The sequence below is a fragment of the Homo sapiens genome, chromosome X (genome assembly GCF_000001405.40).
Source record: "Homo sapiens chromosome X, GRCh38.p14 Primary Assembly".
NCBI lineage: Eukaryota > Metazoa > Chordata > Mammalia > Primates > Hominidae > Homo > Homo sapiens.
The window spans coordinates 31,098,185-31,110,675 of record NC_000023.11 but is presented as its reverse complement, the minus strand read 5'-3'; the positions used below and the strand labels follow the sequence as shown (position 1 = coordinate 31,110,675).

The 12,491-nt window shown below is 40.7% G+C and overlaps 1 annotated feature.

The window, feature by feature from the left end:
* Window positions 10,602–10,681: an enhancer, noted in NCBI's record as "active region_29512". NCBI's record gives its function as "activates an Ori minimal core promoter by ATAC-STARR-seq in GM12878 lymphoblastoid cells {active_cell/tissue: GM12878}" and the evidence as "EXISTENCE:reporter gene assay evidence [ECO:0000049][PMID:35858748]".

Genomic DNA, 12,491 nt, shown 5'->3' with positions numbered 1-12,491 from the left:
CCCTATCTGAATACCAACCAAAAAGAACATTGCTGTACAACAAAACATACGTAGTAGATCTTAGTCACTTTTTGGTTGAATTTAATTCTTACATAAATTAATCAATAAATTAAGCACATATTTGTGTGTTTGACAGATTTGTACAACCCTTCTTCATCAAAAAGGCAGCATATTTGGAACTTTCTATTAAACATAGCAGATTTCTAAACTATGAAAAAATAGAGAAGAAATGAAAGATTCATATTTATAGTAAGAATTGTTATGCTAATTGTGAGTTATTTGTGTTCTGTACTATTTTTTGCTTTCTACTGAATAGTCATTATCTTACTCCATGTTTCTGTTTCAAATCGTTTGGAAAATTCAAAATGAAGAAGCTGAATAAGGAAATATGCTTATCTGCATATCTAATACGCATTCTGAAGTGTCAAATTAAAGTGACCATATAAGTCCTGCCCAACTCAAAACCAAGTATAGTTACAAAAGTTTCTTTGGAAGATGATGCAGTTAGGAGAAGTTAAATTTTGCTACAATAACAAGTAGACCCCAAAATCTCAGTCACTAAACCCAACAAAGGTTTATTTCTCATCCACTTCACTGCCCAGAAGCCAGGCTTCTTCATTCTTACAAATCCACCATTTTGGAGGCCTTCCAGTCCAGCCACATGGACCAGAAATGAGAATATACAGAAGGTAGACTTGTGGAAGGGACAGATCATATCTGTTCAAATTCTCATCAGCCAGAATTCAATCACAATTTCCCAATCTAACTGCAAGGAAGGCTAGGAAATATAGTCTTTCTGGGTGCTCAGGTAAAGGAAATGTATTGGCAAACGTCTAGCCAGTCTTGACATAGAGAAAAAGAACTTAAAATACACTTTTGTATTCAAATTATGTTATATATTATTATTAGCTTCTCTAGTCAACCCAACTCAAAATGCAACTGAAGAACAATGTTCATAGAGTAACAGCTCCAAGACTTCAATGGCACCTCTCTAGCCACTGAAAACTCATTAATAGTCATAACAGAGGTTCTTCACTCCATACATTTACTCATCTTTCATCCAGAAAATATTTTGCCAATCTGTGGTAGGCACCATTATAGGCACTTAAAAAAAAAAAAAGAAAGATTAGATGATTAGATCTAGTTTCTAGTTATTTCTCTCAGTGGCAATAATGAACTGTAATCAGACTGAAATAAGTACCGGGGCCCTTTCAGGAACTACAGATTGTGGCTACAACAGAGTGGGAAGAACTCCTAGTTCTTGGTGGACTAAGAAAGGGGGAAGCAGTTCTTAGAAGGCGCTGTCTGCCATGCTGATAACAATTTGGGCCTTAAATGGGAACGTACTAAAAATTTAAGCACATGAGTAACAAGACCAGATGGGTGCTTTTGAAAGACCACTCAGATTGCCTGCTGCATGAAAAGTGAACTAGCAGGACACAAGGAGAAGGCTGTGACTACTACATGGCTGCCACTGTTTTGTCATCAAGGACATTTTGATGGAGCTGCATTGACCTGGACATTTTGACATGCAGGCAGTATAAAAAAAGCAAATCATTCTCTATTTTCAAAATAAAAATTTCTTTGTTGTTTTCCTCCTTCCATTTATATGCTCATTGTGAAATATACAGAAAATACATGGACTTACAAAGGAAAAGTAAAAATCACCCATTATCCACTGCCTGGAGAAAACTGCTGTTAACATATTCAGTGTATATGTTTCCACAACTTTCCCCACGCATACTTTTTCTAAGAGAAATGTGATAAAAACAGAAATGAAGGTGTAACCTGCTTTCTTTAACAATGCATTCTGAACATTTTTCTAAAGTAATACATATCGTTTGTGTCCTAGTCTATTCTGTGTTGCTATAAAAATACTTGAGACTGGGTAATTTATAAGAAAAGAGATTTATTTAGCTCATGGCTCTGCAGGCTTAGAAGTTCAAAGGCAATGGCCCTGGTTTCTAGCAAGGGCTTTTGTGCTGCATCACAAAATGGCTGAGGTCAAAAAGGAAGTGGACATGTACAAAGAGGATACCCTTAAAAGTGTCCTGGCTTTATAACGACCCACTCTTGAGGGAACTGATCTGTTCCTGCAAAAACTAATTCAGCCTCATGAGAGTGATAACTCATTACCATGACAACAGCAGCAAGGTGTTCATGAGGGATCCACCTCCATAACCCAAACACCTCCCACTAGGCCACGCCTCCCAACACTGTCACATTGGGGATCAAATTTCAACTTGAGTTTTGGTGGGGACAAACAAACCATATTGAGACCATAGCATTTCACCCTTGGTACCCCAAAACTCATGTCCTTCTCACATGCAACATATAATCATTCCATCCAAATAGTCCCAAAGTCTTAATTTGTTCCAGCACCAATTTAAAAATCCAAAGTCCAAATTTCATCTGAAACTCAAGTTCCTTCTAGCTATAAGCCTATAAAATAAAGTTATTTACTTATATGATAAATAGAAGTGGTATTTATCATATAAGTAAATAACTTGGTTTTTTTGGTGGTACCAGCACTGGGTAAACATTCCCATTCCAAACGGGAGAAATTAGTCAAAAGAAAGGGTAACAGGCACAGGCCCCACCTAAGTCTGAAACCCATCAGGGCAGACATTAAATCATAAAAGCTCCAAAATAATCTTTTAGTCAATGTTCTGCTTCCTGGGCACACTGGAGCAAAAGTTGGGATCCCAAGGCCTTGGGCAGCCCTGCCCCCATGGCTTTGCTGGATGCAGCCCATGTCGCTGCTGTCCCCATGGCTTTGCTGGATGCAGCCCATGTGGCTGCTCTCTCAGGTTGAAGTCGAATGCAAGAGTTTTTCTAGGCTGAGGTGGCACACTGCTAGTGGCTCTATAATTCTGGGGTCCCCACATCAGCTCTACTCTCTCAGCTCTACCAGGTGGTGCCCCCATGGGTACTCTCGATGGTGGTTCTGTCCCTGTTGCAAGCTTTTGCTTGGACATCTAGGCTTTCAGATACATCCTTTGAAATCTAGGTGGAAGTTGCCAAGCCCCCATGGCCCTTGCATTCTAGATCCCTGCAGACTTAACCCTGTGGGAAAGCCATCAAGGCTTACCACTTGCACTCTCTGCAAAGGCCAGGATACGAGTAGCAGCATCCCGAGGCAGCACCCCAGGCCTGTCCACAAAATCACTCTGTCCTCATAGGCCTCATAATGGGATAGGCAATCTTAAAGACCACTGAAATGCCTTCAGGGCCCTTTTTTCCATTGTTCTGAGTATTAGCACCTGGTTTCCTTTTATATGTGCTAATCTCTTTAGCAAGCAGTCACTGGGCTGCACCTTTGGATTCCTCTCCTAAAAATGCTCTTTCATTCTCTACCACATGGCCAGGCTCTGAAATTTCCAAATTTATACACTTTGCTTCCCTTTTAATTATAAATTCCACCTTTAGGTCATTCTTCTGTTGCCACGACTGAGTGTAAGCTGTTAAAAGTAACCACACCACTTTTTGAGTCCTTTGCTGCTTAGAAATTTCTTCCACCAGATACCCTAGGTCATCATTTTTAAGTTCAACCTTCCAAAGAGCCCTAGCCAACACATCCTAGTTCTTTGCTATGGTACAATGTGTGCGCACTTTGCTCCAGGTTCCAGTGAGTTCCTCCTTATTTCCATCTGAGACCTCATCATCAGAATGGCCTTTACTGTCCATATTTTTATCAGCATTTTGGTCACAACCACTTAGCCAATCTCTAAAAAGTAGTAAACTTTCCCTCGTGTTTTTATCTTTTTCTGAGCCCTCACCAGAATCACCTTGATATGATTTGGCTGTGTCCCCATGCAAATCTCATCTCAAATTGTAATCCCCATGTGTCCAGGGAAGGACCTGGTGGGAAGTGATGGGATTATGGGGGCAGTTTCCCCCATGCTATTCTCATGATAGTGAGTGAGTTCTCCCAAGATCTGATGGTTCAAAAGTGTTTGGCAGTTCCCCTCTTGCTCTCTGTCTCTTCTACCACCCTGCGAAGAAGGTGCTTGCTTCTCACACTCTGCCATGATTGTTAAGTTTCCTGAGGTCTCCCCAGCCACGCGGAATCGTGAGTCAATTAAACCTCTTTCCTTTATAAATTACAGCAATGTGAAAACGGACTAATATAAACCCCCAATGTGCCATTCATGACGATACAATATTTTTATGGCCTGCTCCTCCAAACTCTTCCAATCTCTGCCCATTGCCCAGTTCCAAGGCCACTTCCACATTTTCAGGTATCTTTATAGCCACACCCTACTCTCTGTACCAATTTCCTGTCTTAATCCATTTTATTTTGCTTGTAACAGATATCTGAAACTAGGTAATTTATAAAGAAAAAGCTATTTCTTACAGTTATAGAAGCTGAGAAGTCCCAGGTCAAAAGACTATGTCTGGTGAGAGACTTCTTGCTGGTGGGGACTCTCTACAGAGACCTAAGGTGGTGCAGAGCATCACACGGCAAGGAGGCTGAGCACGCTAATGTGCTAGTTCAGGTCTCTCTTCCTCTTATAAAATGACCAGTTCCACTCCCATAATAACCCATTAGTCCAAGAATAAATTGATCTATTTATGAGGCAGAGACCTCATGATCCAATTAACTCTTAGAGGCCCCACTTTTCAATACTACCACATTGGGAATTAAGTTGCCAACACATGAAATTTGGCAGATATATTCAAACCACATTAGTTTAGTATCATAACTTTTAATGGCCACAGAGTATTCCACTAGTTGGATGTTCCATGAGGCAGTGTAGGGTAGTGGCTGAGAACTTAAGCTGTAAATTCAAATTGTCTGGATTCAGATTCCAGCTCTTAGCCAGAGATCAGAAAACTTTATCTGTAAAAGGCCAAATAATAAATATTTTAAGTTTTGTGGGTTATATTAACCAGGGTTCTTCAGATGAATAGAACCAACAAGATATATAGATACAGATATAGATATAGATGTGGAGATTGATTGATTTAGTTTAAGTAATTGGCTGACGTGACTGTGGAGGCTGGCAAGCTCAGAATTCGCAGGGTATTCCAGCACACTGGAGACCCAGGGAAGAGTTGCAGTTCAAGTCTAAAGGGTATCTTGCTGGAAGAATTCCTTCTTTCTCTGGGAGGGCAGTCTTTTTCCCTTAAGATGCTAAACTGATTGGAGGAGGCCCACCCACTCTATGGAGGAAAATCTGCTTTACTTAAAGTCTACTGATTTAAATGTTAGTCCCATCTAAAAAAAATCTTCATAGAAACATTTAGAATAATATTTAACTGAATGGGTACTGAGGCCTGGCCAAGTTGACACATAAAATTAACCATCGCATGGGCTACATAGTTTACATTACAAACTACTCAACTCTGTTGATGTATGTCATAGCAGACATATACATTAGGTAAAGAAACGTGCATGGCTGTGTTCCGATAAAACATATTTATTTGTTTATTTTTAGAGACAGAGGCTTGCTCTGTTGCGCAGGCTGGAGTGCAGTGGCACAATCACAGCTCACTGCAGCCTTGACCTCCCTGGCTCAAGCAATCCTCCCACTTCAACCTCCCAAGTAGCTGGGACTAAAGGTGTGCGTCACCATGCCTGCCTAAGTCTTGTGTTTTTTGCAGAGACAGGGTTTGTCCATGTTGCCCAGGCTGGTCTCAAACTCCTGGTCTCAAGTGATCCTCCCAAATCAGCCTCCCAAAGTGCTGGGATTACAGGCGTCATGTCTGTCCAACTTTATTTACAAAATTAAGTGGCAGGTTGGATTTGACAAGTGGGCTGTTGTTTGTTAACTCCTACTCTTTAGCCACTTTGTGACTGAGACTTTGGGCAGGTCATATAAGTTCTTCAAACCTCAGTTTTCTCATCTGTGAGAAACAGGGATAACAAAATCAAAGGGCTGGGGTGAGAATCAAGAGAGACAATATTGCCAGGCGTGGTGGCTCACGCCTATAATCCCAGCACTTTGGGAGCCTGAGGTGGGTAGATTTCTTGAGCCCAGGAGTTTGAGACCAGCCTGGGCGACACAGGAAGACCTCGTCTCTACAGAAAATAAAATAATTAGCCAGGCGTGGTAGCAGGCGCTGGTAGTCCCCGCTACTGAGGGGGCTGAGATGTGGGGATCGCTTGAGCTAGGAGGTCGAGACTGCAGTGAGCCGCAATCGCACTACTGCACTCCAGCCTGGGTAACAGAGCAGGAAAAAGAAAAGAGAAAGACAATATTTGCAGAACACCCGGCACAATATCAGGCACATATTAAGTGCTCAATAACTCTTCTCATTACTACTATTTATCCAATATCTACCGACAGAACTATTTTAAACAACTTTAAGGTATAACTGACATACAATAAACTGCATATATTTAACGTGTACAATTTGAAAGGTTTTAACATATCTATACACCCATAAAGTGATCACCACAGTCAAAAATAGTGAATATATCTATCACCCCAAAAGTTTCCTTCTGGCCCTTTGTAGTCCTGCCATCTCATCCCTTCTATTCCCAGGCCCTACTCCTGTCACCAAAGAACCACTGAGCTGCTTTGTGTCATTATCCTACAAACAAACTTTTGATTGTTTACAATCTTGCACTATGAAAAACCACACAGTCATACACATCCATGGACAGATCTTTGCATGTGTTCAATTACTTCCTTAGGATAAGATGCCACAGGTAGGATCACTAATTTGTAGAGTATGTGCACTTGATATTGTTATACATATTGACAAATTGCATTTCAGAAAAGTGCCAATGTGCAATGACTGTTTCCACTTATTTCAGATTATGTTGACAGCATGTCTGTATGTGCCCAAGGTAATACTGTGTGGAGTTAGGAGTTTGAGTGTGAGTTTACATTTGAAGTATCTAGAAATACTTAAACATCATTTAATTGGCCCTAATTGAGAACCAACACCTTCAGAGATGGTGACCTAGCACTTAGTAATGGGAAGAAATATTTTTATTCGTGAGATGAGAGGTGTTCCAGGGAGGGGACCCACTAGGAATGTTGTACAGGCTTTACCGCCCTTACATGAACAAGATAAAATTCCAGCCCAGTGGATATAATTCCACTAAAGCAGTATTCCAGCTCTGGAGCCCTGTTGGTCCTGCCACATCAACAAGACTCTGCTACTCTGACACACCTACAAAACCAGCCAGTCATGTGATCAGGAATAGAGGAGTATCTGCCACAGAATAAGCCTTTTACGCTCTTTTGTACTTGCTTGCTAATAAATTTTTGTATGTTTGAAAGAATTTGAAGAACATAGCCTAATAGCAATAAACCATCTGCTAACAAGGTTGTGCGGGCAAGTATGTATAGCTACCACCCATCTTTAATATGTTCACTAAAGGACCTTGACATTGGCTGGACTGCCAAATTGGCTTAGGTCTGTTTGCTAATCCAAAAGGGAGGAAATTATGACTTGCTATTTTCGTTTGCATTTTTAATTAGTAGCTAGATTATCTTTTCATAAGGCTGCTGAACATTTGCCTTTCTTCTTTTGTAGATTACTTGTCCATATCCACTGATCATTTGTCTACTGTGGTATTAAAATTTTTCTTATTGATTTGTAAAAGATCCTGCTATATTAAGGACATGGTTTTTTTCTTGAAGTGTAAAGGTTTTCAATATTTTTCTTTGATTTCTGGCTTTGGCATCATTCTTGGAAATTTCTCTACCTCAGTTTTTTTCTAAGGGTAAGAATGTCTGTTTTATACATTCCTTGGGAACAAAAGTAATAGCTGAAAGTATAACGGTTAGTAAAAGCACTTGAAGGTCTAAAATTGCCTTTCTGATGGGATGATAAAGAAGTAAAAATGGTTTTGTTGTAATTTCTAAAATTTGATCTCCTTGTTTTATGGTCTCTCTCTCTCTTTCTCTCTCTCTCATCCGTGCGAATAACCAATTCAAAATAGAAGAGGAGATGAGTTTGTAGGCTAAGGGAGGCAGAGGGTACAAGGATATAGACATAGAATGCTAACCTTTACCAATGAGACACACCTATGCCAGAGTTTGAATCAGAAGTTTGTGACCCAAAGAAGCAGGCACTGCCTGGACTCCATTATGATGTGGGCAGCAACCGATACACCCAGTCTCTAGAAGCATCAAGTGGCAGAGTTCCTAGCAGTTGCATCCAATGCCTAATGATGTGATCAGAGTTGCCTGTCCTAAGAAATGGTGGCAGCATTGTTCCCACTGAAGCAGTTCTATTGAAGGACTCCAGCCCCTGTGGAGAGCATGTGAACTTTATAATACAGTAGTATCTGCTTATCACAGGGGAATACATCCCAAGACCCCCCAATAGATGCCTGAAACCACAATTAGCATGAAACACATTTCTGTTCGTGTCTTCTATCCACAAATTTAATGCCTCTTCCATCTTAACTAAGCACTTATCACACACGGTGGCGATAACTCTTACAGTCTGAGGTGCGACAATGAAACCAGCATGAATTTCCTTTTCCTTCCTCCCAATTTCACAGATAGGAGATTTGTTCTTATCATAGATTTTAGCAATCTCAGTATATAGGATTTTTTTCTTTCCTTATTAAGTCTAGAAGTTTCACCTTTTCACTAAAAGAAAGCACTTCGTGGCTTCTCGTTGGCATATCCAAATTGCCAGCATCACTACTCTTGCACACTTTGGGGCTATTATGAAGTAAAATAAGGGTGACTTGAACACAAGCAACTATAACAGTTAATCTGAGAACTGAGACACTTCTAAGTAACTAGTTGGGTGGGTAGTGTCCACAGTGTGGATACTGATGATTTACATCCCAGGTGGAACTGCATGAGATTTCATCATGCTACTCAGAACAGTGTGCAATTTAACTTATGATTTGTTTATTTCAGGAATTTTTCACTTAATATTTTCAGACCACATTTGACTGCAGGCAACTGAAACCAAGAAAGCAAAACCATGGATAGGGGGATGACTGTACCCTTGAATAAATCTCTTTTCTAGCTTAAACTAGCAAGAGGGGTTCTGTTGTTTGCAACTAAGAAATCTGACTGATACAGAAACAGGGCAAAGAGTGGCTACTACAAAAAGTATATATAACCTCAATTGCTGACCTGGTGGGCCTGAAGGCAGTGAACATCCATCCCAGCATAACCCCCATTAGGAGTTCTTTCTTTCTTTCTTTGTTTTGAGACAAGGTCTTGCTCTGTCTCCCAAGCTGGAGGCAGTAGCACAATCTCAGCTCACGGCTGCCTCCTGGGCTCAAGTGATCCTCTCACCTCAGCCTCCTGAGTAGCTGTGACCACAAGTGTGTGCCACCACTCCTGGCTAATTTTTGTATTTTTTTGTGGAGACTGAGTTTCTTCATGTTGCCCAGGCTGGTCTTGAACTCTTGAGTTCAAGCAAGTGATCCACCCGCCTTGGCTTGTGAAAGTGCTGGGATTAGAGGTGTGAGCCACTGGGCCCATCCTTTTTGGTTTTTTTGTTTATTTTGGAGACAAGGTCTCACTCTGTCACCAAAGCTGGAGTACAGTGGGAAAATCATGGCTAACTGCACCCTCAACCTCCCCGGGCTCAGTTATCCTCCCACTTCAGCCTCCCAAGTAGCTGAGACCAGGGGTGTGTGCCACCATGTCCAGCTAATTTTTGTATTTGTTGTAGAGACAGGGTTTTGCCATGTTGCTCAGGCTGGTCTCAAACTCCTGAGCTCAAGTGATCCACCCACCTCAGCCTCCCAAAGTGCTGGGATTACAGGCATGAGCCACCGCGCCCAGCCAGGGGTTCTTAAATACTGGTTTGTATCGTGCATTGATTACAAAAAGAGCTACACTATATCTATCAAGCCATACTTCCCAACCCCCAAACTAACTCATTCATAAATGATCAAATACTGTGAAACTCTTAGGTTACATATTAGTGGACGAGAGAAGACCATACTTTGTCCTTACTGAAGCTGAAGCAGCAGCCAGAGTAGCAGGAAACAGATTTCCTTGTAACCAGATTTTTTTTTAATTGACCACTGTGGTGACTTCACACATTATAATATTCTATGCATACCTGAAGCTGGCATAGAGTTTGTGCCCCTAAAGCACTCTTTTGCCAGAGATCCTAGAGGACATTGGGGCTATCTGTATCCAGGGAGCTAAGATTCTAATATAAAACTTGCTAAAACATGCACACACATACATAATTAAGACATCTGGTTACCTTATGTTGAAAATATGACTGATTCCTTCAGCCTAAAAGTATTCATTACAATATGGTCTGTACCAGGCATAATTTTTTAGCACAAAAATCAGAATCCATTCTTAAAAGTTTGTAAATGAAAATTTATGAAAAATATGTGAAAAATAATGGTCTTGCCTCAACAAGCTGACTTTACTTAACCACCAATGATAATACATATTAGATGTTGAAAAAACTCATGATAAGATTATTTTCTAATGGAAGCTGTATTTAGCCCATTCTATGAAATTGACTTAAAGGTGAGGTAATACGTTAGGTAAACAATTTAAGAAGTCTATCCAAATTGCTCAAAGTGCTTTGCAGACATGAGCTAATTCAGCCTTATAAATAAGTTTGTGTAGTTGGATTCATGTCCACTGTTCCCTTTGAAACTGTCTCATGGGTGGTGGTTTGTTGAGGAAAAGGTGTGGATAACAGCAGGCCCATCCCCAGGCTCAGGGCATCTTTGGAGGCCCCTGGGAGGTCCTCATCTTTTGAGGCCAGACCTCCTGGTTATATCACAAGATCTCCCTGACTCATCTCCTGGGGTTTCAAAATGAGGAAACAGCTGTCGGGGAAGGCATGTGGGGGAAAACACCTTGAGGGAAAGGAGGCTGGTAACTGTTATGTTTCTTTTAAAAACACCCTGAGACCACACAAATTTGGGGGATTTCAGCCATTACCTCCTTTGAACTTCAGGGTAGTACTAGGAATTAAGTTGAGTGGAAGTAGTCACTTGGCTCCGTCCTCTTGAAACAGCTGCTAATCTATTCTCATGGCACCCCACTTTGAGATGACTCATCTCCCCTGTGGTGGGTGCCATGGTGCCTGGCCACATGCCCCTTTCAGAACTGAGGCACTCATCTTCCCAGGTGCTAACAATGTTGTCTGGTGCTGGCTTATGGCTCAGACCCTTTCTGGAAACTACCCTCAGTTGAAGGTAGTTTTCTCTTCCAAAGCCATGCCCCTTTCCTGCATTCAATGGTTGGCCAATGAAGGGTAGATACAAGGCTTGGCCCCCTCACTCCAATATAAGACGACTCTGAAGGACCATCCCAACCCTAGAGCTCCCTGTGGAATTGGATGAGGGGGCTGCGTCACAGTTCAACTTCTCCCTCTACCCAGCCCTGCTTCCTTTAGTACCTCCCAGGGTATGCCTCCCTGGAGTATGCTTTGATGAACTTCTTTCGCACTAATCTCCATCTCACACAGTCTGTTTCTAGGGAACCTGAACTAAAACACAGCCATTTTAAGTACAAGGCTGCATCTCGATGTCAGAATAACTGTACAGCCTTACTTAATTCTTTAAAAATTGTGTTACCTATAATTAAGTCACTTCTGAGGGGAGTACTGACTAGCCTTGCCCTTTGACTTAAGATTATAGCAGACAGGGCCCAATGCCAAAAAATGGTTTCGTTTAGGGATAGCAATTATCTATTAATAACTACAGCAAAGCCAGTAGGTTTATTATAATAGGACACAAAGAGTTGCTCATGTATTAACTGTTGAGGTAATTAATGTCAAATGAGACTTGAAGAAGGAAGAAGGGAAAGAAAGTCATAGATAGGTAGATAGATATCAATAAATAGATATTGAGCACATGTGATATAAGTAATGGGGAACCAATACGAAAAGATATATCGGCCCTTCCCACATGGAGCCTGCAGTCTAGCTAGGAAAACAAATATGTTATTAAAAGCAAGCATGGTAAATTGTAATGGGGGAAATGCAGAATGGCATGACGGTACCTAGCAGGAGCATATAACTCTGTCAAGTACAGGGTTGGGGCAGGACAGAGAAGAAAAAAATGTGTATATGGAACTAAATAAACAAGTAATGGACTGGGAAAAAGAGGACTTTAGGGAAGTTAATCCAAGGAAGTAATAATCTGCAAGGCAAAAGAAGGAATTTGCAGGAAGATGTTCTATTTATAATGTTGGAAAATTGGAAGCAACTCAAATGCCCAACAATAGGGGAATTATAATAATAGAACATTACAAAGTCATTAAAATGAAAATAATAAAGATTACATCCATTTCTGGAAATGCAGTGTGAAATAATATTAAATGAGAAAAGCAGAAATAGTGCATGTTCACTGGATTATAACTATATAAAAATATGAGTCTTTATAAACAATGGCTTAGAGACTATGTACCAAAGGAACAAAAATTTAATGTTTAATGTTTCCTTCCTCCCCCTTATTCCCTGATTACGTCATCTTTCTGGCCTGATTTATTTTTAAAGTTTTCTTTTCTTTGTTATGAAAGCCTTACATATCCATACACTGGTCTAAAAGTGTTTTTTTTTTTAATCTTTCA